Consider the following 24,712-nt stretch of genomic DNA (forward strand, 5'->3'; position numbering starts at 1 on the left):
TCTGGGTAGTTGGTGTCGGCATTGAACTGAGTTGTTAAACACCCCGTTTGTGTCTACAGAGGCCTGGAGAATTGGTTGGTGTCGAAAATCCACACATTTGGTGTCAGGGTGTGGTGGTGTACAAACACCCCTGAAGCCCTTTTATGGAGCACCCCAGAGTCTGCTAGTTCCCGGGAAGTCACCGCTAGAGAGGCAGAGGGAGGCAGAGGGAGGCAGATGCAGGCACAGGGGCTTCCTACCCAACCCCCGCTCCCCTCTGCGGCCAGCTGGGCCGGGAGGGCGAGGTCCTCCTTGGCTGGAGCATTTCTCTGCACGCAGCTGTCGTCAGTTCAGTACGACATCACTGAGAGCTGGGAGAACCTGGGCCCCGGGAGGAAGAGGGGTCGCAGAGGGATCTTGCACCTTCTCCCTGGTGCAGGGTGGGGTGGTGGGCAAAGGTGGGACACAGCGGTGGGGAAACCACCCAGCCAGGGCCCAGGTCACAGGCTCTGGGGCCTCCGTCCCAGCCTCGGGCCCCTCTCACTCTGCAGTGGGTTGGCGTCCAGCCCCCATGGTGCCTTGGAGCCTCTGAATATTCCATAAGTCAAGTTGTAAAATCATAAAAACCAGAACTATCCGTGCAGTGCAGGCTGGACTCGAAGAACACAAAATTCACCCTTTCATGGAACGCATAGCCTTTCTGCAGAGTCCTCACATGTGCCGGCTGCTGGCCCTTCTCAGAAAGCATTTGCTAACTACCTGAGAGGAGCCCTGGGACACCCCCATCCCCCTAGGGACCCCCCCAGACCTCCACCCCCAGCAGCCCTGGGACACCCCCCTAGACCTCCACCCCCAGCAGCCCTGGGACACCCCCCAAGACCTCCACCCCCAGCAGCCCTGGGACACCCACCTAGACCTCCGCCCCCAGCAGCCCTGGGACACCCCCCAAGACCTCCACCCCCAGCAGCCCTGGGACACCCCCCTAGACCTCCACCCCCAGCAGCCCTGGGACAGCCCCCTAGACCTCCACCCCCAGCAGCCCTGGGACAGCCCCCTAGACCTCCACCCCCAGCAGCCCTGGGACACTCCCCTAGACCTCCACCCCCAGCAGCCCTGGGACACTCCCCTAGACCTCCACCCCCAGCAGCCCTGGGACACCCCTAGACCCCCCCACCAGCAGCCCTGGGACACCCCCATTCCCCCTCAGCAGCCCTGGGATGCCCCCTTAAACCTCCACCCTCAGCAGCTCTGGGACACCCCCAGACCACCCCAGCCAGCAGCCCTGGGACACCCCCCTAGACCTCCACCTTCAGCAGCCCTGGGACACCCTGCCTGGCACACCCCCCCCAGAACCCCTCAGCAGCCCTGGGACACCCCCTATCCCCCTCTCAGCAGCCCTAGGACACCCCCCACCCACCCTCCTCAGCAGCCCTGGACACCCCCATCCCCCATCTCAGCAGCCCTGGACACCCTCCATCCCCTCTTCAGCAGCCCTGCCTGGCACACCCCCCAGAACCTTCAGCAGCCCTAGGACACTCCCCATCCCCCACCATCCCCCCTGCAGCAGCCCTGGGACAGCCCCCATCCCCCCCACAGCAGCCCTGGACACCCCCCATCCCCTCCTCAGCAGCCCTGGGACACCCTCCATCTTCCCCTCAGCAGCCCTGGGACACCCTCAATCCCCCCCAGCAGCCCTGGGACAGCCCCCACCTACCCTCCTCAGCAGCCCTGGGACACCCTCCATCTTCCCCTCAGCAGCCCTGGGACACCCTCCATCCCCGCCTCAGCAGCCCTGGGACAGCCTCTATCCCCTCCTCAGCAGCCCTGAGGCAGCCCCCAATCCCCTGCTCAGTAGCCCTGGGACAGCCCCCATCCCCCCCCCTCAGTAGCCCTGGACACCCTATTAGGGCCCCAGCTTCTCTACCTCCCCAGGGGCTCTCCTCTCAGACCCAGGAGGGCCTGGGGGTAAGTCCAGGTGTTGGGCCTCCCCGGTGTCTACCTCACTCTCTGTGCTTCTCCAGGCATCAGCCCCTCTGCAGGGACAGGGGACAGGAACCAGCGGAGACGGAACCCCGGGCCGGGGAGTCAGTTCCCCATCCCAATGCGCTGGGCTCTGGGGGCAAACTGCTGTCTCCACCTGGACTCCATCTCCTGTCTGTCAACCAGGACTAGCACTTTGCGGGCTTCCAACTCCAGACTGGCACCGGCTTGCAGTTGTCAGGACAGACACCTCCGAGCCTGAGGGCAGAGGCTCCGGGTGGCTCTGGGTGGGGCGTGACCAGCAGCTCTGACAGCAGAGGTGCATGGGGCAGGGTGTGGCAGCTGGGGTACCTGCCACATGTCACTGAACTCTACCAGAGGGAGGCCAGGAAGCCCAGACACCAGAACCACCACAGAGCCCTTTGAAGGCATGACAATCGGGGAGGAAAATGAGTCCCCAGACACAGGGGCAGAGCCGAGCTGCCGGAAACCAGCAACAGCAGCATGGCCAGGGAGGCTGCCAGCCAAGCCCAGGAAACAGGACCGGGTTGGGGCAGCAGCCAGGCAGAGAGCCTGGGCCCCTCCCAGGGCCCTCACCCGACTGCCCCCGGGGACGCGGCTGCAGGGAGGAGGAGAGGGGGTGGCCTTCCTTCCTCAGCCAGACCCTGCCAGAGCCTCCCCCACCCCCTTCCCCTGGACCCCGTCCCCTCCTCTCTCCCACCAGAAGGCTGGCCTGGCACAACGACACCATTTAATTGTTGGAAACGGGAGCGTGGAATATGAACCACGAGGACACTGGATTTCAATCTGGCTTCAGGATCCAGGCACACAGCGTTTTGAGCCCGGTCCCCATCTGTGGCATGGGCCTCCTGCTAGGGCGTCTGGGAGAACCTAGACCCTGGGGGCCAGCAGGGACTCAGCTGCAGGCGGTGGTGGCCTGTCCCAACCTTGGGCTATGTGGAGGGCAGTCCTGGGTCTGCAGACCACCCCAGGCAGGGGTAGACATACCTGCCCTTCCTCCAGGGACACCCAGGGAGGCCCGGCACCCAGGGAACACCCATGGCTGAACCAGCACAGCCGGAGCCTCCCAGCAGGCAATGCAGGACCACGGCCCTCACTGCCTCCTCCTCTGGCCCCAAAGCCCAGCTAGTGATGGGGGTCATCCCCATCTCCATCTCCACGGCCGGCCCCCGTGCTGAGTTCACGGCCAGCCCCCGTGCTGAGGCCATGCAGGTCCCTGTGCTGAGTCCACAGCCGTCCCCCGTCCTGAGGCCACCCAGGCCTGGCCCAGGAGGGTGGACATTTCCTTTGTGTTTTTTTTGAGACGGAGTCTTGTTCTGTTGCCCAGGCTGGAGTGCAGTGGCGCGATCCCTCACTGCAACCTCTGCCTCCCGGGTTCAAGCGATTCTCCTGCCTCAGCCTCCAGAGTAGCTGGGATTACAGTCGCCCGCCACCACACCTGGCTAATATTTTTTGTATTTTTAGTAGAGATGGGGTTTCGCTGTTGGCCAGGCTGGCCTCCAACTCCTGGCCTCAAGTGATCTGCCTGCCCAGGCTCCCAAAGTGCTGGGATTATAGGGGTGAGCCCCCGTGTCAGGCCAGGGTGGGTGTTTCCATCTACGTTTGTGGGTGAGGACTGTCCCGGTCACACAGTCCCTGTGTCATGGAGGCAGGACACGCACCTGGGTCCCGCACCCCTCTTTAGACAGCATATGGGGCAACCCAGCAAGGCTGGGAAGAGGAGTGGGCTGCAGACTCGGGGAGAGTGCTGGGGGGGGGTTCCCTAGAGCTGTGGGTGGCCTCACTCCCACAGTGGCTGCAGCACCTGCCCACCTGGCTGTGCCGGCCACTGGGACCCCACCTCTGGCTGGCAGCACAAGCTCTAGGTAGTCACCACTCCTGCTAAGAGATGGGGAAACTGAGGCACAGAGAAGGCTGGTGACTGGCTGCGCTGGGTGGTTCCTGGAAATTAATCGGCTCCCTCCTCCCACCTCTACCCCTATCCCCATCCCTCCAGCAAGACCAGAACTTCCCAGAGGAGCAGGGTCTGAGAGGTGCCCCCTCAGTCAGCTGACTTTGCTGTGCAGGGCCCCCCAGCACAGTTTTGGGGCTCAGGTTGGGGGTGGTCCCTGAGCCTAGTGCCTCATTCCCATTCCTCCTCTGGCCTCTCCCCTCCCCCCATGGCCAGGCTGGCATCAGCGGCCTGGGCACCATGGCTAGGCCTGGACACACGAGCTGCATTCAGATCTGGTCCCTGACGAGGAGGCGGCGGGAACACAGCGTTCTCTTGGTGCCTGGCCAGACAGCCTGGCCCCTACCCTCCTCCGCTCAGGCACTTTCAGCAGTGGCAGCGGAGTCTCAGGCCCTGCCCACTCCCAGACACACACTGTCTGCAGCCCAGGGCCCGTGGGTGCCCCCTGCCAGGCTGAGGGACAGTGACACAGGTGAGGGAGGTAATGGGGGAGCCCTGCTGCCCTGGGAGAGGGGACGAGGACCCCACAGGGGCCAGGCCTGGCCACCACTCGCCCCAGGCTGGGAAACCAGGACATGACCCTCCCCCACCCTGCTCGCAGGTTGTCGCAGGACACGTGTTCGTGTCCAGGTGCGCTGGGAAGGGTCCTGGCGGTGCTCCTCTCAGCGCAGGTCCCGAGGAGCTACAGGCATGACGCTGCCTTCAGAACTCCCCCGAGCCTGCTCCTTCCCAGCCTTGGCTCGTGAGGCTCCTCCGAGGACCACGGGCCTTCCACGGCGTAGCCCTGCCACGAAGCCTCCCCATGTCTTGCCTCCAGCATCACCTGGCCGAGACGGACCTAGGGCGTCCTTCTCCAGCATCATCTGGCCGAGACGGACCTAGGGCGTCCTTCTCCAGCATCACCTGGCCGAGACGGGCCTAGGGCGTCCTTCTCCAGCATCACCTGGCCGAGACGGGCCTAGGGCGTCCTTCTCCAGCATCACCTGGCCGAGACGGGCCTAGGGCGTCCTTCTCCAGCATCACCTGGCCGAGACGGGCCTAGGGCGTCCTTCTCCAGCATCACCTGGCCGAGACGGGCCTAGGGCGTCCTTCTCCAGCATCACCTGGCCGAGACGGGCCTAGGGCGTCCTTCTCCAGCATCACCTGGCCGAGACGGGCCTAGGGCGTCCTTCTCCAGCATCACCTGGCCGAGACGGGCCTAGGGCGTCCTTCTCCAGCATCACCTGGCCGAGACGGGCCTAGGGCGTCCTTCTCCAGCATCACCTGGCCGAGACGGGCCTAGGGCGTCCTTCTCCAGCATCACCTGGCCGAGACGGGCCTAGGGCGTCCTTCTCCAGCATCACCTGGCCGAGACGGACCTAGGGCGTGCTTCTAGGGCCAAGGTCATGGCCACATAGCCCCCAGCCAGGAGAGATGACGCCCCCTCCCAGAGGCCAGCAAGGTGGACATGGAGACCCCACTCTTTGGAGGAGAAAACAGTGGTGGACGAGGGGCAGAGCTCGTCCAGGGTCACCAAACCTAGGACGCCAGAGTCAGGATCTGACCCACCTCTCCAGCAGGTGCCTGACCATGGGTTCAGCTGTCCCACCTCTGTGAGGATTCAGGGAGCAGGAGGAGAGAGCCCCTGAAGTGAGGAAACAGTGGGGCCTTGTCATTGAAAGGGCAGGCAGGTGGTGAGAGCCAGAGATGGGAGCATGGCCTGGACTGGCCAGGAAGCGATAGGCCAGGGGAGTGGAGGTAACGGGGCCCACAGATAACAGGGCATCTTCTCCAGGGCCTCATTCAGTCTCAGACCAAGTTTATATGTCATTTCTCCTATTGACAATTGATCAGCCACCCAGGGATGCCTCAGGGCCACTAACGCGGATGGCCATCAGCCAGGAGGAGCGGTCCCGGGCAGGGCCACCAGCACGGATGGCCATCAGCCGGGAGGAGCTGGGGATCCTGGGGGTCTGCACTATTGTGCTGTCATCTCAGAGCCGGAGCAGCCAGGGAAGGGAACGGAAAGATATTTGGGGGCACAGCTGGCTGCCACCACCTGCTAAGGTGGGTCTACGGCCGGGGCAGGAAAGAGAATGTTCCAGCAAGAAGCAGAACCCCACTGATGGCCGCAGCCTGCCCCCTCACCCACCTGTCCCCCATCTCGGTGAGGATAGCAGGCATGTTCTGCCACCTTGTTCCTGCCTCCGTCCCGGCTGACCCTGCCCCCTGCTGTAGGCTGGCCCAACGTCACACCTGGTAGCCTCTTGCTGCTCCGTGGCCTCTGAGGCCCCAGGCACACGCTGGGTCCTGTCCAGCCCTCCCCTCTCCTGCACTCCAAGGGACCCCTCCAGGGGACCCCTCCTTGCCCAGCAGCCGAGGGGGCTGCGTTTCCCAGCTTGTGCCCAAGAGTGGCGCCCGCGTAGTAATTCCTAATTAAATAGAGCACAAAACAGGGGATTGTCTAGCGATTAGCCAAACCGACTGGATTTTGAAGAACAAATATCCCGTTAGCACTACTTCTGCCGAGTCCACATGGCCATGAAGCAGAGACATACGGGAGCTCGGTAATGAATATGGAAACCTTCTTTTCTGGTGTTGCTCACTCATAAATGAAGCTGCTTTATGGAGCACGAGCAGAGGGAAAATGACTGCGCCCAGCCTGATTTATCTGCTCAGACGCTTTGTAGTGCTTCAGATTAATAAAAATATTTAATAAAGAATCAAGATGGTTTATCTGTAATGCAAAGAGAATCACATTGCCTATATTTTTATTACAGAAAAATTGGAAGCAGGAAGAAATAATGATATAAGCTACTGTATAAATGACAAAAATACCCATTCTGGTTATGTGCTTTGCGCTACAATCCCGCGCCGCCCTATAAACATAATCTATTCGCGTGCCTCTTTCAGCTGATTCCAGAGCCTGCTCTGCACTGTGGAGTTTAATATCACCCTGTTCTCAACTGCACAGGGAAGTGATTAAATAAGAAATAAATTCGGCTGTCATTGCATTTAAAATCAAATCAAGGATCATTTGTTACTCCAAATGAAGCAGTTCTCCTTCCCTGCCCGTAAGTAGGCTGCTGTTCGCTGAACCATTTAGGAATGTATATATAGTAAACTCGCCGCATAATGCCTTGTACTCTGATATGATCTTTATGGGGCCGCTCCGAGCGCGGGGAGCGCCCATAAGCAGCACATGGCTTTTTTAATTTGAAGTTACAGGTATGAGACTTCGCAGTCCATCCAAGTCTTATTGGAGGGGACCCATGTGAGATGTGGGGGCCACTGCCCAGGACCCCTCCCCCTGCACCCCTGCTCAGCTACAACCAGCCCTCCTGTCCTCAGAGGAGGACAGGGGAGGGGAAGGAGCTAAGTCAGGTCCTCAGCGATGCACCCCTAACCCCAACCCTACCCTAAAGGGCAGGAGGGGCTGGGAAGCCGCTAAGAGGCGGGAACTGGAGGAGAGGGCTCTGCTGGGCTCCGTAGTGGGTGGGGAGTGCCGGGCGATGGGATGGCACAACGGGCCCCATCCTGTGCATCCTCCTCACCTAGAGTTACCGTCTCCAGGCTCAAGCGCCCCCCATGCCTGGCAGTGGCCGAGAAACACAGAGGGGCTGGAGGGGACAAGGAAGCGGAGCAAGTCGACTTGGGGAAACGCCTGGAGGGCATCGTGGGCAGCTGTATGAGGGGCCAGCCCAGTTGCTGGGCTAGCTTGAGGGCGGCAAGCAGCTGTCCCGTCATGCCCGTGTCCCCATCCTGTGGCTGCAGCATAAAAGCCCACAGCCTGGAGGGCTTAACTCAACAGACGCTTGTCCTCTCATTCTAGAGGCCGGATGCCCAAAATCAGGAACAGCCAGGCTCCTTCTGAGGCCCCTTCGGTCCTCCTGGTGCCGCCCACCCTTGGGTCCCGGGTTCTGTGGCTGCAGGTCTCTGCCCTGAGTGCCTGCGTCTCTAACTCCCCTTCCTGTAAGGACGGTTTGTGGGGGCACACTGGATGAGGGGCCCCCCACTCCAAGATGGGCTCATCTAAACCAATCGCTTCTGCAATGACTCCATTCCCAAATAAGGTCCCCTGCGGAGGTTCTGGGGGTTGGGACTTGGACGTATCTTTTTGGGAGGACACAGTTCAGCCCGTGGCAGTCACCCTCACACGGGTCTTATCTGTTCTTATCCGGCATCCATGGGTTGGAGAGAGGCGGAGTGACGGATTAGTGCATTTCCTGAAACTTTAAACCTTTAAATGCTAAAGCCAGCCGGGCGCGGGGCTCAAGGCTGTAATCCCAGCACTTTGGGAGGCTGAGGCGGGCAGATCACATGATGTAAGGAGTTCGAGACCAGCCTGACCAGCATGTTGAAACCCCCTTTCTACTAAAAATACAAAAATTAGTCGAGCCTAGTGGCATGTGCCTGTAATCCCAGCTACTCAGGAGGCTGAGGCAGGAGAATCGCTTGAACCTGGGAGGCAGAAGTTGTAGTGAGCCAAGACTGTGCCACTGCACTCCAGCCTGGGTGACAGAGTGAGACTCCTTGTCTCAATAATAAATAAATAAATAAATAAATAAATAAATAAATAAATAAATAAATAAATGCTAAAGCCTATTAGGCTATTTTTTGTTGGAAAGTCTCCTAAAATTCACCTCCTAGTGTCCCGCCTTATCTGGGAGAGCCTGGGAATCAGGCGGGGAGAGCTTCCTGGAGGTGGTGTCGGCCTCCTCTCCCTGCCTTTTTCCCCCTTCTACCAGAAGGAAGGCCATAAGCCGCCACCCGCCACTGGGCCCTGGCCTGGCCCTTCTGGCCAGGGCTCCCATACCCGCCATTGTGTCCTGGGCATGCGGCCTTGCTGACGCTGTCTCCTCCCCCAGCTGCTGAACACGGGTGGGTCAGTCTCCAAGCTTCAAGCTTCTTGACCCCTGTGAAGCGCTCTGCTCACGTGTTGGTTGGGACTCGGGTGAACACGAGGCAGCGGAGGCAATCAGAAAGGACGCGCTGAGGGCTGCGCTTACCCCCATCTCTCTTTCCCTGGGGTAGGCCCCTTCCTCCTGCTCCTCCTGAATGCTGGCACCTGCGCAGCCCTCTGCCATGACTCCAGAGCCAACCCATGCTCACAACCTCCACGTGCTGCCCCCAGCTGGCCTGGGCACTCGGCCTCCCCCTCTCCTAGGTCCAGAGAACGGGTCTGAAAGCCTGTGGGGGCCAACAGCAGCGGCCTGTTCCCCAACCTGCACCTCCAGCCCAGGCTGTCCTCCTCATCCTGCGTTCCCGGGCCTGGTGTGGAGCTGGACACGTCCCGAATGTCCCTGTGTCCCTGCGCAGGCATCAGGTCTGAAATGCCATCGGTGCTTCAGGCTCTCGTGTCCGCGTGGCCGGCAGGATGCTTCTTCTGAAGTGGACCGAGAGCCGTTCACTCGTGCCAAGGGGTGTTTGAGAACGGAGCCAAGTGCAGGGCCTGCAGGGGCGGTGCTGGAGGGTGAGGGGCGCCAAGGGCTGTGGCCGGGCCCCTGCAGCCTCCCTGTCTGCCCTGGGGCCCCCTCAGCTTAGTCCCCTGCCACAGCCAGTGCCAGCAGCAGGCGAGACTGGAGGGGGCCTAGAGGACCTGGCCTGCCCCACTCCCAGGTGGGGAGGTTGAGGCCCAGGGAGGGGAAGGAGATCTGGCTTCAGGGTGAGATGGGCAGGGCAGGAATGCTGGCCCTGCCCAGCGTGAGCTTGAGCAAAACACCCCACCCTGAACCTTTGCTTCCTTCCACAGAAAATGAGGGTGTCCATGGCGCCCGCCTCGGGGGGTTCCTGGGAGGAAGCACCCAGGGCCAGCCTGGGGGGCACGCGGTGGGCGGTTGGTGCACACACAGGCCCTTGGCTCTGACAGGCCTGGAGCAGTGCAGGGGTGCCGTGCCGGGTCCTCAGCACCGGCTCCCAGGCAGCCAGGGACTTCCCGGAGCTCCCTGGTCACCAACCCAGGCTTGATGGAGGCCCCGGCTGCATCTCTGACCCCTGACCCCTGACCCCAGCCTGCACCAAGCCCCACACGTGACTGGAATTTCGCCTGCACGTTCGGCCTGGTACTCACAGGAGGCTCCGAGCAGCCCACCCTTTCGGACAAGCTGGTCGGGGCCTCTGGTGGTCCAGCCCTCCACTGCCATTCCCGGGGGGCCTGGGCCCCTGCCCCTCCCCTGGCTGGAGACATGGGGGTGCAGCCCCTCTGTCCAGGCCCAGCAAGCCGGGATCCCATCCGGCCAGAGTCCACACTGCCTCTGCCAAGTACGTGACGGTTAATGTCATCACCGTGTGCACAGCCCTCTGTGTTACAGTGTGTAATATAAACTCAAAAATTAATTTTCTCACCTTCAAAAAGCGTCTTTAACTGCTCCTGAAAGGAAATATGGCTAAAACCATAATTTTAACGTCAATTCTTATTAGAAGGTCACGTTTGACCAAATTCTTTTGTTAGCTCATGACTTTGCATTTTCTCCTCCTTAGAAAAAAAATCTCCTTTATCTGCTTTAGCCCCGATTTTAAAAATGCCCAAAGGGGCTGGGTGCGGTGGCTCATGCCTGTAATCCCAGCACTTTGAGAGGCCGAGGTAGGTGGATCACCTGAGGTCAGGAGTTCAGGACCAGCCCGGCTAACATGACAAAACCCCATCTCTACTAAAAATACAAAAATTAGCTGGGTATGGTGGCATGCACCTGTAATCCCAGCTACTCGGGAAGCTGAGGCAGGAGAATCACTTGAACCTGGGAGGTAGAGGTTGCAGTGAGCTGATATTGCACCACTGCACTCCAGCGTGAGCAACAGAGAGAGACTCCATCTCAAAAAATAATAATAATAAAATAAATAAACAAATAAATAAATAAATAAATAAATATGCCCAAAGGAAAATTAAACAGTCCTATCCCTGCCCAGTCTTATGTCTGCAGGTGGCAAGCGTGGTTGCAGGATGACCTTGGGTCACTCTGGGATGTAAGGGTTTTCCAGACTCCACGCCGGGTTCTGACACTGGCCCCCGTGAGCTCGGGCCCGTGTGGTCACAGGCCAGTTGTCAGAGGATCCTTGGTCCCAAGGGAAACTGTGTGGCGTTGCAGAAGGGGGTGCCCCTCTTTCTGCTGTTGGGGACCACAAGCCAGAGTGGATCCCCTCCTCCAGTATGGGTCCCCCTGGGAGCCCACAGGATCCTGAGGCAGGACCCCTAGGTGATCTCTGCCATGAGCAGCCCCCGTCCTTGGCCCCCGCCCATCCTCTGGCCTCTGGGGCCGGGCGGAGCGCGGGGCGTTGGTGCAGGAGGGCTGGGGTTGCACATCCTCCAGGACCTGAGCATCTGCTGGATTTTTCTCAAATGATGAGCACGCCCCTCCCTGGGTGGGGAGTCTCCCTGGGTTGGGAGTGTGTGGCCAGCTTTGGGATTCCCAGAGTCCCTCAGAGCCTCAGGGGCTGCTCCCCGGGGACCCGACTCACAAGCCAGGTGTCACAGGAGGCGACTCCAGGGCACTGCTCGCTGGAAGCAGGTAGGGCCCAGACAGTCAAGAGGTGATGCAGGGACCAGCGAGGTGGCCCCACCCTCATAGTGCCCCGCCTGATGGGGCCCGCTTGGGCTGGGGGCTCCTGGAGACAGACTGGCAGGCTGCTGGCTCTACCATCGTTCAGCAGAACCTCATGCGTAAGAAGTAGGGGAAGGCATGGGATCATCATCCCCTCCTGATAGAGAAGCTGAGCCGCAAGTGGGACTCCTAAGAGGAGACGCCTGGAGACGCCTTTAGTCTTAATATGTTCCCGTGTGTGCATATGTGCACGTGTGTGTGTCTGTGTGCACAGGCGCGTTGGGGTACAAGAGTGAACACAGCACCCGGGAGCATTCCGCATCTGCTCACAGTCTCAGCCTGAGGCAGCCGGGCCAGGCTTGCTGGAAAACAAGCCCCGGGATCGGACCAAGCAGCTGCCCCTCCTCGCACTCTGCCTGGCAGCCCCCAAGGCAATGGGAGAGTCCCAGAGCCACCTCCAAGCCCCCAGAGTGTTTGGTAAGTAAGCGGAGGCCGAGGGTCCCCAGCCTGAGGCGTGGAGCTGGGCCCCTTCCTCTGGGCCCCTGGGGGAGGTGGGTGCACCGTGTTCCCCGGGCAGCTCTGTCCCGAAGGCTCGCAGGCCCCTCCCTTCAGCAGGTTGATTTTCAGTGCCCAGAGAACAACAAATCACTCTCTGACAATAATGGGGATGAACAGACACTTAATTATGAGGCCACGAGACAGCGCGATTATTAATTTTAAATTGTGCAACCCAGTCCTGAAGGCTGAGCCTGGAGTGCTATCCCAGGGGCTCACGGGAGCCTGGGAGCCTCAGGGCTGGCCGGAGCTCAGAGACTCGGCTGGGCACTGGACTTGGGGGACACAGGGCCCTGAGGCTAGGGGACTCCTGGGTGGCCCTGACCTCCCCCTCCCCACAGCAGAAGGCCCAGGGAGATGGCTCTGCAGAGCCTGGCGTGGTCTGGGCTGCAGTCTACCTCCACAGGTTGATGGGGGTGTGGGTGGGGCCAGGACTCTGGCCCCCCCAAGAGGCTGCTCTGCCAGCGTGCTCCAGGGCTGATGAGGGTGTGACTGCACCAGCTCCTCACATCCACTGGGGGCCAATTCTGGCAGAGTGGGCCCACGCGGGGGTGGCCGAACCCTTCCCAAAGCAGTGGCGGGGGGCTTTACTCTCTGCCTGGCTGAGGCCTAGGCCTACGACCACTCTCCTAGCCAGAGTAGGTGTCGATGCTCAGTGTCTGCTGGGCAAGGAGGGCACCTCAGAGGAGCTGCAGGGACCCTTGGAGGGAATCCCAAAGGCAGATAAGATCCCAGGTCCCTGGAGAGCCACGACCAGACACGCAGCATCAGCTCCCGTATAGAAGCTCAAGGTGGAAACCTTGGGCGCCAGTGCAGGGCTGACCTTGAAAGGTGATAGGGTGGCCGGTCCCCAAGGCTCGGTGACACTCATGTTCCTTTCTAGGGCTCCTCAACTCTTCCGAAATTTGCCATCTCCTAAAGTTCTTTAATCTCTAGCCACGGGGGTTCCGGATTTCCTCCGGGTCTACGGGGACTCAGGGACTGCAGAGGCAGCTGTGGGGGGTGGCATGGAGGACACAGCCCTGGACAGAATGGGGACACAACAGGGCCTGGAGCCCTGGGGGAGGCTGCAAGGCTGAGCGCATCCGGGGACAGACTCCCGGCTGACTCCTGTGGGAGGCCGGCGAGCAGCCCGGTGCCAGGCCAGGCAGCTTGTGCGACCGACTGCGCAGCAAGCTGTCGGTGCTGGTGGCACTTGGCAGGCGGCGGCGGGAAGGGGATGTTTGCAGACTGCCGGCGACAGCTTCCCGGCTGAAACCTCCCCGGTTAGACTACGCAGAAGTGAGCAGTGCCCGCGGGCGGGTCTTGGAGGAGCGAGAGGCAGCAGAGGGGCTGCTGGGGCTGTTGGGCCCTTCTGGGGGCCTCCCACCGGGCCTGCCCCCCCGCCCCCCGCTGTGGGCCTGGCCTGGGGCCTGGATCCAAGCCAGCACCCCCACACCCTGCAGGCTCCTGGATTCCGGTCTCTGGGGCAGTCATGATGGGCACCGGGGGAGAATTTGAGGGAGGGCTCAGTGGGGAGGGGGCCTCGGACCCCTGTGATGGGAGGCCCCTTCTCTGTCTGTTATCCCAGGTGCGCTGCAGGGCTGAGGTGGGCAGAACCCGCCCTGTCCGTTTTGGGTAAATTCCTTCCCCAGGAGCTGTGGGAGCATCTGCAGGCAGAGACGGGGCAGGCTTGCTGTGGTGGCGTTGCCATTTGTCACTGTTACTGTTTTTTAATTCAGGAAGCACATGCACAAAGCATGCATGGAGCTGCTTCGTGGAGCAGACGGCGCCCCCCGGGCACCTCAGAGGGTCACACAGGGAGCAGAGAGCCAGCCTTGCGGCCTCTGGCCTCTGCAGGTGCAGCAGCTCCCCGACCTGCCCTCCCCAGCCCTCCCCTCTCCACGCCCCCCTTTAACCCCTCCCCTCCTGCCCTTTCCCTCCCCTCTCCACGCCCCCCTTTAACCCCTCCCCTCCCGCCCTTTCCCTCCCCTCTCCCCTCCCCTCCCGCCCTTTCCCTCCCCTCTCCACACCCCTCTTTAACCCCTCACTTCCCGCCCTTTCCTTCCCCTCTCTCCCCATCTCTCCTCTCCTCTCCCCTGTCTTGAAGTCAGACAGTCACATCACAGCCCCATCCTGTTTGATATCCCCAAGAACCCAGAGATGCCGTGTGCAGACCCCTACCCTCCTCCCTCATCCTGCCATTTTCAGGGTGCCCCTATATGTGGGGCCCTCTCTGCCGTGTGCCTCTAGCTGGAGGCAGAGGCCCCAGCAGCTTCCCCAGGCTCCCCATGGCAGGGCACAGACCTCACCCCTGGGATCTACCTGGGGTAGAGGCAGGGCCACTGGCACCTCCCAGGGCTTGGGCCCAACCTCCCTGGTGGCCTGCGCCCGTGAGTCTGGCAGGGTCTGGCCATGCAGGTCCCTCTGTTCTGGGCGTTCTGGGCCTCCTTCTCCTGTCTCTCCCGTGATTCCATGGGCTGCCCACCGTTCCCTGAGAAAAGCAGGCAGAGGTGGCTCCTGCCACTGTCACCAGAAGCCAAGTTTTCAGGCCAGCACTGCCCTCCCCCTTTAGGAACCAGGAAATGGAGGCTCTGAGAGCCAGTGGCATCCAGCCCTTGGGCTGTGATGGGCAGGGGAGCAGGGGCAGCCTGATGCCCAACCCAGGGGGACGGCAGGGCAGACACAGTCCTGAGCCCCTGTGTGCAAAGTAAGTGGGGGACACCGATCTAAACATACGAGTTCAGGCCATGGTGGCTCACGCCTGTAATCCCAGCGCTTTGGGAGGCTGAGGTGGGCAGATTGCTTGAGCTCAGGTGTTCGAGACCAGCCCGGGAAACATAGTGAGACCCCCCATCTCTACCAAAAATTAAAAAAAAAAAATTGGCCAGGTGTGGTGGTGCACACTTGTGGTCTCAGCTACTTAGGAGGCTGAGGTGGGAGAATCGCTTGAGTCCCGGAGATGGAGATTGCAGTGAGCTGCACTGCACAAGCCACTGCACTCCAGCCTGGCGACAGAGTAAGACCGGTCTGGAAAAATAAAATACAAACACGGGTTCTTGGAAAACCAGGACGAGGGCTGTGAACAAGGACGTTGCTGGAGTTGTGAGTGCGCTGTCACGTGAACAAGAGGCACCACTCGCCCTGTCCGAAGAGGCTCCCTGCTGGGGCGGCCACGACAAAAGGGAAGGTGTTCTCGGCACAGGGGTCGGGGTGGCCAAGACCACATGGCAGAGACCCGGCAGAGGACCAGACAGGATGGAGCGGGGTCTGGCGGGGAACAGAGCTGGGGGTCTTGAGCAAGGGGAGACCCCATGGGGTAAGGGAAGCTCACCAGAAAAGAACAGAACACCCACCTAAGTTTCTATTTTAAATAAACAATGAATTTTTAAAATAGAAATATGCCCCCAAATTGGATGGGTCATACACTAGAGATTGATTTGTTGTTAGTATGAAATGAGAATTTCACTGGGTGTTAAGTATTCTTATGTATTCCCTCTGGCCACCCTACCCAGAGGGTGAGGGACAGACCCTTGGAGCTCAACTGGCCACAGGGAAGACCCCTGCCACGGCTCACCCCTGCCCTGGGGGTCCTGATGTTCCCACCTAGGGCAGCCACCTCCCTCTGGGATCTCCCGGCTCTTTCATCCCAAGGTCCTTTCTTGGAGGTGACAAAGAGGGGCAGAGGAAAGCGCTGAGCCTGGCCCCACGCCAGGGCCCCCTTCCTGGAGGAAGGCAGGGCTTTACCTTGGTTGGCCCGGCTCCCAGGTGGCAGGTGGCCCCTGGCTAGACGCTCTGAAGGCCCCTGACACTTCCAGCATCCCAGCCTCCTGCCCAGGCTAGGGGTGCTCCTGCCTTGCTGGGCACCTGCAGGGCCTTAGGCTAGGCACAGAGAGGCCATGCGGCTCCCGGGGCAGCCCAGCCCTCGGCCAGGCCACCCGCCTGCACTGAGGCCTCTCTGCTCCCCGGAGCGGATGATAAATGTCTGCCAAGCAGTGATTACAAACAGTGCAGCTGCCGGTTACAGGAACTGTGGCCGGGCGGGCGTGGCTCTGCCGGCAGTTGCGAGGGCTCAGGCTTCGTCCGGTGTGGAGACTTGACTGCCCCCCTTCTTTTTCTGGAGGGACAAAAAGACCAGATTTATCGTGGCCATAAGAAATCGTCTGAGCACTTAGCAGCTTCCCGCCCCTGGTTTGAGGGGAAGTTGGGGCTGTGGGGGCTGAGATGGGCTGGCCTGCGGGGAGTGGGGGCTGGCCAGCTCCCAGAATCCCCCTTCCCGAGGCTGCTCCACCCACCAGGAGCACAGGGAGGCTGCTGCTGGGGGAGGGGCTGTGGCCGGGAAGTGCCCCCGCCCCCTTTCCCCACTGCCCTCGCTCAGCGAGGCTTTTCTCCTGGGAGAGACGGAAGAAGCCCCGACCAGCCAGGACAGGCTGGGGATTTAGGCCTCAAGGTTGTCCTTGAGGCCCAGGATGTCCAGCGGCAGCAGGCTCCCCTCCCGGGCCAGCCTCTGCCCTGCAGATGGGTGTCCCCTCTCCCAGCCCGGTCCTGTAAGAGTGGCCTGGGCCACATGGCTTCTCCCCTCTGAGCCTTGGTTTCCTTTCCTGCAAAATGGACAAAACGGGTGGATTCCAGGGCATCTGCCAGGCCGCCGAGGACAGCTCCCGGCCGTGGGGGGCTCACCCCGCAGGAGCCACTGTGATGTCCTGCCCCTCACTGGCCTCCTGGGCCCTGAGGAAGGAACGGAGGGGCAGGCTCTGGAGCTTGAGGGTGTGGGCCTCGGGGGCTTTGGGTAGACAAGCTGCCACACGCCTTCAGTGGAAATCGCAGCCATCGGAGCTGTAGGTGATCAGACTCCAATATTCAAAATAATCGGCGGGCCTGAATTTCCATACAATAACTGTCTTATTAAATCTAAATTTAATGTGTATTTGGAATCCTTAATTTAAAGTGTTACTGCACCCACCATCTGCTCCACTCTCTAAATACAAAAGCAGCCAGCACATAACTCAGTGCGGCAGCGGAAAAGCGCGGTCCCGGGAGCGGCGCGCGCCACTACTGCTGCTGCGGGTCTGCCTGGCCTGGCCGGCTCTCCGAGGGCACCAGTGACCCAGGCACTGCAGAGCCAGGCGGGAGAGGTGTCTGCTCCTGACCCAGCCTTCAAGGCTGCAGGAGCTCTGTGGCTGCCTGGCCCTCCTCCCTTCCCGGTGGGGCTCTGGTAGGCCTGGGCTCTGAGCATCGCGCCTGGGTTCGGGCCATGCCGCTGCCTGCCCGCCCTTCCCTCTTGTGTCCTGGACACCCTGCAGAGCCTGCTCCTGGCCATCTCCAGCACGAAGACTTCCCCTGCTGCCCTGACCACTGCCCTCTGCCTCCTCCCTGATGTGACGGGAGCCGGGCCGCTAGGTGACCCCCTGGGGTTCCTTTCCTGTGAACTCACTGGTACCTATGGCTGTCTCTGCAGAGGCCACCCACCCTGGACCCTGGACTCTGAGCCGCCAGCCCTGGCCAAAACCACCCCTGGCTTGGAAGGGAGGGCAGGCGGCCCTGCCTGGGGCCAGAGTACCCAGGGACAGCCCCTCCTCCACCAGGGAGCCCCTGGCCTTGGGCCAGCCCCCGTCACCCCAGCTCCTCCCTGTGACCAATAACGTCCCATGGGTGGGACTCCCAGTCCAGGCCAACCCTTCACCATGCCATCCTCTGCAGGATGAAGTTAGAGCCCTTGGAGGGGCCAGTGTTGCCCCCAGAGCGTCTTCACCACAGAGGCGAATGCATTGGGGGCAGAGCCACGTCTCCACCTCTCATCCCTGTGCCCCGGCCGCTGGGGACGCAACTGTGCAAGGAGCCACCACCCACCTGCTCACGTGCAAGCCCAGCTGAGCCCCCCAGACCCCACTCACGGCCAGCCCTGTGAGGGCACCCGGCCCGGCTGAGCCCCCCACAACACCAGGTCCTCACACAGGACAGTGGCGGGAGGGCACAGCTGCACGACCTGATTCAGATTCCCATCTCAGCTCCACCACTCACTAGCTGTGAGGTGGTTGTTTTTTTTAGCTTTTTAAAAATTGTGGTAAAATACACAAAACACGTGACCATTTTAACCAGTGCAAAGTGTACAGTTCAGTGGCATTAAGTACATTCATAACACTATTGTGCAACTAACACCATTATCTAGTTCCAGAACCTTCTCCCACAAAGGAAACCCCGACCCCATTCAGCAGCCACCCCCACACCTCCCTGGCCGCCACCCCCAGGTCCTGGCCACCCCCCTCCACCGTCTGTCTCCACAGAGTTGCCTGCTCGGGGCCTTTCATATCGATGGAGTTGGGTACACGCGCCTTCCCTCACTTAGCAGAGTCTTTTTTCTTTTTCTTTTTTTTTCTTTCCTTTTCTTTTTTATTATTATTATACTTGAAGTTCTAGCGTACATGGGCACAACGTGCAGGTTTGTTACGTATATATACGTGTTCCATGTTGGTGTGCTGCACTCCTAGCAGAGTCTTTCCAAGGGTCATCCGCGCTCGTGGCTGTGAACATTCGTGCACACGTTGTGCCAGGAGGGAGCGGCCGGGTCACGTGGTGATTCTGTGTTTAACTTTTTTTTTTTTTTTTTTTTTTTTGAGACGGAGTCTCACTCTGTCGCCCACGCTGGAGTTCAGCAGCACCATCTCCGCTCACCGCAAGCTCCGCCTCCCGGGTTCACGCCATTCTCCTCCCTCAGCCTCCCGAGTAGGTGGGACTACAGGCGCCCGCCACCACGCCCGGCTAATTTTTTGTATTTTTAGTAGAGACAGGGTTTCACCCTGACCTTGTGATCCGCCCGCCCCGGCCTCCCAAAGTGCTGGGATTACAGGTGTGAGCCACCGCGTCCTGTGTTTAACTTTTTAAGACCCGTTTCTGCTGGGTGTGACTGCGCCATTTGACCTCCTCTCTGACCATAAGATTGTGAGCCTCTGGAAGCCACGATGTTCCCGTCTGCTAATGGGAATCATCATCTCTCGGCAGCACGAGGAAGCCAGAGGGAGAGGATGGGGTCGGCTTCGCCGAGGGTGCGCACCACGGCTCTGTCGCCATGGTGACCCACGAGCCTGGCCTTTGCAGGAAGCCCCAGGCCTGTTCCACCATCTGTACATGCTGACGCCAGGTGAGCTGTGGAACTGAACAGAACCAAAGGGACTCCGATGGAACGGCTGAGGGCACTTCTGGCCCTGAGGCTCTGCTGAGCCGTCGCAAGCCCATGCTGGGCGGTCACGCCTGTCTCATCGTTGCAGCAGCTGGTCTGTCCTGATGCTCCAGGTGGACGCTTCGTTCTTGGCTCGGCCCGTGGAAACCATGAAAAGTGGAGGTCCTGTGTGGGGCATCTGCAACATACCAGCCACGGAGCTCGGGGCTCACAGTAGCTTCTCAGTAAATACTGAATGGACGCCTGGTTTCCAGTTTCCGTGACACATTGGTAAGATGGCAATCGTTACCCTGTTTTACAAAATCTTAGACAAGTTAAGTGACTCTGAAAGTCCCCCGGCCAGGACATGGAGCTGGGACCTGGTCTCAGGCTCACCTGGCTCCCGACTGCTAGGCCGCTGTGCACATGTGTGCAGGTTGCTACTGCACATGGGCACTCAGCTGAAGGGGAGAAAGGGGCGAATCTCCAGTCCCCATCCTTTCTCCCTCCCCGCCATCACGTGCCAGGCACTGCCTTTGCCCAGGGGCTCCTTGTGATTGTAACAGAAGGCCGAGTGGCCTGGTGGGTCCGGGACCCATTCTGTGCTGCTGGCTCACCCTCCACACAGCAACACCACGGGCACCGTTTCCACGGGCACCATTTCCACGGGCACCATTTGCTTCTGTTGCATGACAAGGGTCGGGCCGGAGAGAGGCCTGCGTCCCTGACCAGAGCCCATGAGGGAGGAAGCGGCACAGAACAGCACCAGCCTCTGTGTGGGGCTCAGGCCGTGGGCTCAGGCCCTCCATGTTCTGGCTTCCAGCGCAGGAGGAACAGAATGGGATTCTGCTGTGGTCGGTCCTCCCTTGCCAACTGGGGAGGTGGTCATTGTCCCATACAGAGAAGGAGACTGAGGCTCCGGGTGGCCAGGATGTAAGCCCAGGCCCCTTGCCCTTCACGGTCCTCTCCACTCGACCCGCCCATCTTGGGTAATTGTGGTGTTTGGATCCAGCTTTTTCTCAGTTTTTGGCACAGAATCCCTCAGCGAAACCCTTCAGGGGGCCTAGCGTGTGTGTCGGGCAGCTGAGCTTCCGCCTGTCCTGAGCAAAGCCCGCCTGACCAGGCGTTTCCCGGGGTGTCCTACACACAGGCAGTGCCGTGTGCTTTGTAAAAATGGCCACTTTGAGCCCCCATACCTTGCTGGTGGGCACCGGCATTATCCCATTTTACAGAGGTGAACACTGAGGCCGAGAGGAGCTGAGCTACACCCCAAGGCCTAATGGGGAGCACCCCAGGGAACCCCACACCTCCCAGCCCGAGGCCCGGGCCAGCACCTCCCCGGGCACAGCCGTGCAGCCTCCCCGCCCCCTCAGGCTCCTCTCTGCAGCATTTCCCCAGGAAGTTGTACATATTTTTACGGAGCTGGTTCTCCGCCCGGATCACAGCCGCGGTCCTAGCAGTAATTGACTGCTCTCTAATCAAATTGATTTCCATTCCAATGAGTCCCGCCGTCCTCTCCATTCCGGGAACGCTGTTTTAGCAGGCAGAGCTCGGTACAAACGCACCATCAAACTGCACAACGCAGAGCGCACCGCGGTCCTCTCTGCCACCCAGTGACAGCTAAATGGCCTGAGGGCTTAGGCCTGGCCACTCACTGATGCATTCCCACTCAGGAGGGGCACACACCCTGGGCTCATCTGCATCTGATGGGAGGGCTTGGTGTGTATTCAGAGTGGGTCAGAGTGATGGGATTTATTTCCCATCGAGTCCCACCAGAGCCTCACCTGTCCCTACTCTGCTGGGGCTGGCCCGGCCGTTGCCTTCTGTTCCTGTAGTCCCAGCTGCTCCTCTCGGCTGTGGCCCAGCATGGAGCTGGCTGGCTCTTCCTCCTGCACACTCCAGCCTGGGACTGAAGGCCCCTGGAGTTTCCACATAGGCTGACCCCAGAGTCGACTCCGTCTAGGCTATTTCTAGGTCTGCTTAGACCACTGCCTTGGGAGCACAAGAAGGCGGGGGGTGGTCCTGAGGCTGTGAATGCCCACGGCCCTGTGGTTCCTGGCGCCTGACAGACCCGAAGCCCATCAGGGCTGGCAGGGACATTCATACTCAGCCTACTTCAGGTGGGTGAGGAGAGGGGTGGCCTGCCCAAGGCCCCAGGCCCCCTGCCGCCCAGCTCCTGGCCCGGCCCCACCACCTGCACCCTCACGTGGTGTTCCCAGAAGCCGGAGCAACTTGGCGGGTGCCTTGTGCAGGTGGGGGACCTCCTGGGACTCTCCAGGCCTTCCTGGGTGACCACACCTGTGGGCGGAGTAATGGGGGTCTCCAGGTGTCTCCTTCTCTGTCCCATCAGAGGGAGCCTGAGTTTTAAAGCCAACGCAGCAGTCCCTCAAAGCTTCCTGACTGACCACAGTGGCTCCCAAGCCAGGGACTCCGACGGGAGGTGACCCCCATTCCTCCTCCCCTGGGTGCAAGGAGCTGGAGCCCGGTGGGGTGGGCACACACAGAACCAGGAGGAGCAGGAGGAGCCTCTGTGGGTTCCCCTGGCGCTGTCAGGAACCAAGGCTGCCAGCCCTGCCGCTCCAGGGAGGCACAGGCGCCTCCAGGCCGGCTCCAGAATCCTGCCAGCCCCTCTGTGCTTGGGCCTGGGGGCTTCTTTCTGCCACAGCCACTGTTACGATGGAGGAGAGACACTGTCATCAGCTTCCTGCCCCCTGGCCAGCACCTGGGCTAGGTTGGCACTGGAGGTGCGCTCACACGCCAGGTGAGATGCCAGCCGGGAGCAGGGCTCCCCAGGCCTCGCTCACAAAAAGCGTGGGATGCCCCTGCTGGCCCTCGGCTGTGGCTGCCAGTTCTCACAGCCTCAAGACTCTGATTCCAGAAACTGAAGTCAGAACAGACAGGTGCTGCCCAGGGACCTGCCCCAGCCCTGGGACCTGTGACATGGGCCCCGTGTCCCTTCTGATGCAGAATCCAGTCACCAAGCTCCAACTCTGTGGTCATGCCTGGCTGTTCTGGGGTGAGCAGACTGCTGGTGCCCCACAAGGCCTCTGCAGCGGCTGTTGGTGATTTGGCCTCTGGTGACACTGAGATGGGCCTAGAGCAGCCCCTCCCCCAGGCAGTGGGACCCTCTCTCTTCCCACCCCTCCACTGTGGGCAGCTCTGGGTGGATGGAAAATGGTTTTATTTTTATTTTTATTTTTTGATGGAGTCTTACTCTGTGGCCAAAGGCTGGAGTGCAGTGGTGTGATCTTGGCTTACTATAGCCTCCTCCTCCCGGTTGCCTAACCATGCCCGGCTAATTTTGTATCTTTGGTAGAGATGGGGTTTCACCATGGCTGGTCTCAAACTCCTGACCTCAAGTGATTCGCCCGCCTCGGCCTCCCAAAGTGCTGGGATTACAGGCATGAGCCACCGGCCGGGAAATGGTTTTAGTGCAAATACCATAAGCAAGGCAAAGGCTGGGAGGCAGTGAGGCCCACACTGTCAGCAGCCAGGCAGGGGCGGCCCAGCCATGCCCCAGGGAGGGGTGTTCCCTAGAGGAAGGGCCCCAGGGTGCTTTGTCCTCCCCTGCTCAGCAATCTGAGCAGCCAAGGCTTCCAGAACCCCATTATCAGCAGACCCAGATCTCAGGCGCCAGCATCAAAGAGAAAAACGCAAGCAAGTATATCTGGCATCTCGGAGGAGGGTACAAGATGAGTGGATATTAAAACACCGAACTTTGGGCCGGGCACGGTGGCTCACGCCTGTAATCCCAGCACTTTGGGAGGCCGAGGCAGGCAGATCACGAAGTCAGGAGATCGAGACCATCCTGGCTAACACAGTGAAACCCCGTCTCTACTAAAAATACAAAAAATTCGCCGGGTGTGGTGGCGGGCGCCTGTAGTCCCAGCTACTTGGGAGGCTGAGGCAGGAGAATGGCGTGAACCCAGGAGGCAGAGCTTGCAGTGAGCCAAGATCAAGCCACTGCACTCCAGCCTGGGCAACAGAGTGAGACTCTGTCTCAAAAATAAATAAATAAATAAATAAATAAATAAATAAATAAATAAATAGAGAAACTCAGAACTTCTCTTGGGCCAATGCCCACCCCACAGCAATGTGACAACCACGGAGGCCCAGTGAGCTGGGAAGGCCTCCAGGCCCCGGTACAGGGCTCCGTGGTGAGCAAGGAGAAGCGTGCATGTGGCCGGGACAGGTACAGGATGGCTGCGGAAGTGGGAGTGTGACCGCTGACAGATTTGCTACCATCCAGGTCAGAGGAAGATTTTTTTTAACACTCATCCATCTGGTACAAAGGGAAACCATTCGTAAGCCCCGGTGTTGGTAAGGGGGCGGCATACAGGCACATCTCCGGCGAGGACCGCGGATGCCTCTCGGGCGGGCCGTGAGGACACCTCCACCCCGGCGTTCCCATGAGCCCAGCAAAGGGAAGCTGAGCAAAGATGCGCAGAGCACCCCGATCTGGACGAGGCCTGCAGACCACAAAGCTGGATGCAGTGAGTGTGCAATTGTTGTGTGAGGCTGTCCGCACCTGGGTCCGTGTAGTCTCTGCACACGAGTCTGTGCTGTATGAGGAAAAAGCCAGGTCTCTCCACCAGAGAGTGTGGGCCGTCCTCTCTGGGCAGGAGGGATGCCCTTATGGCCTCACTCTGTGTGGCCAGGATGTTGAATGCAGAGTCCAGGCCCATGCCAGACCCCCAGAGCCAGATCTGTGCACTAACAAGATGCCCGGGGCGGGGGGGGGGGCGGGGTTGGAGGCACAGTAAATGTGAGGAGCCTGATGGAGTTCATGCCCTTGGCTGAACATGTGGGGAAACTGAGGCACAGAACAAGGCGATCTCATGAAAAGGTGGCATCAGAGGGGTGTTCCAGTGTTGTTTGGGGGTGGTTTTTGCTGCATGGTGGTTTTTGCTCCCACAGAAAAGGGGTGCTGCTTGGTCAAAGCTTCAGCGGTGGGGAGGGAAAGGAGTGGGGTGGGCAGCAGTGAGGCCCCTGGGGGAAGGGGCAGGATTCTGAGGACATCAACAAGGCAGGGCTGGCATGGGAGACAGGTGCAGGCCCCTGCTGGGGAAGTGATGGGTTTCAGGGGGTGGGGGGCTCCCTGCCCTGGTGGGGGCGGCCTGGGGTGAACCCTTCCTCCAAGCTCGTCCGACCCAGGCTACCAGGGAAAGACTCATGGCAGAGGCCTCCAGAAAGAAAGGGGCTTGGGTCCTCCCTGAGCTACTTGTTTAGAGCAAGGAGCCTCCATCTCTCTCAGACTCACCCCCAGCCCCCAGCCCTGGCCGGGTCACCTCGCCCGCTGTCAGCAAGAACGTGGCTTCAGCTTCTAAAGCAGCCCTAAGGTTGGCCGGCTTGGCCCGTTCACGTTCACGGACACTGGCCCCTCCTGGGTGCGGGAACTGCCTCAGGGTTGCAGTCAGGTTGGCTGGGCTGAGGGCGCCTCTGCTTAACCCTCTCCTCTCCTGCAGGCCCTGAGTGAACCCAAAGCCACTGCTGGGAAACACAGAACGTGCCGGGAAAGGCCTCCCTCTGCAGCTGCTCCTGGCATCCCTGCACGGGGCCTGAGGCTTGTCACAG

The 24,712-nt window shown here is 60.4% G+C and overlaps 6 annotated features.

Moving 5' to 3' along the window:
• Nucleotides 12,708–13,386: an enhancer, noted in NCBI's record as "H3K27ac-H3K4me1 hESC enhancer chr9:138881416-138882094 (GRCh37/hg19 assembly coordinates)". NCBI's record gives its function as "activates a minimal SCP1, AML or CMV promoter by ChIP-STARR-seq in primed H9 embryonic stem cells {active_cell/tissue: H9 hESC(primed)}" and the evidence as "EXISTENCE:reporter gene assay evidence [ECO:0000049][PMID:30033119]".
• Nucleotides 14,064–14,741: an enhancer, noted in NCBI's record as "H3K27ac-H3K4me1 hESC enhancer chr9:138882772-138883449 (GRCh37/hg19 assembly coordinates)". NCBI's record gives its function as "activates a minimal SCP1, AML or CMV promoter by ChIP-STARR-seq in primed H9 embryonic stem cells {active_cell/tissue: H9 hESC(primed)}" and the evidence as "EXISTENCE:reporter gene assay evidence [ECO:0000049][PMID:30033119]".
• Nucleotides 15,419–16,096: an enhancer, noted in NCBI's record as "H3K27ac-H3K4me1 hESC enhancer chr9:138884127-138884804 (GRCh37/hg19 assembly coordinates)". NCBI's record gives its function as "activates a minimal SCP1, AML or CMV promoter by ChIP-STARR-seq in primed H9 embryonic stem cells {active_cell/tissue: H9 hESC(primed)}" and the evidence as "EXISTENCE:reporter gene assay evidence [ECO:0000049][PMID:30033119]".
• Nucleotides 15,419–16,116: a biological region, named in NCBI's record as "H3K27ac-H3K4me1 hESC enhancer GRCh37_chr9:138884127-138884804".
• Nucleotides 16,057–16,116: an enhancer, noted in NCBI's record as "active region_29295". NCBI's record gives its function as "activates an Ori minimal core promoter by ATAC-STARR-seq in GM12878 lymphoblastoid cells {active_cell/tissue: GM12878}" and the evidence as "EXISTENCE:reporter gene assay evidence [ECO:0000049][PMID:35858748]".
• Nucleotides 16,097–16,774: an enhancer, noted in NCBI's record as "H3K27ac-H3K4me1 hESC enhancer chr9:138884805-138885482 (GRCh37/hg19 assembly coordinates)". NCBI's record gives its function as "activates a minimal SCP1, AML or CMV promoter by ChIP-STARR-seq in naive H9 embryonic stem cells {active_cell/tissue: H9 hESC(naive)}" and the evidence as "EXISTENCE:reporter gene assay evidence [ECO:0000049][PMID:30033119]".

The sequence above is a fragment of the Homo sapiens genome, chromosome 9, assembly GCF_000001405.40.
Source record: "Homo sapiens chromosome 9, GRCh38.p14 Primary Assembly".
NCBI lineage: Eukaryota > Metazoa > Chordata > Mammalia > Primates > Hominidae > Homo > Homo sapiens.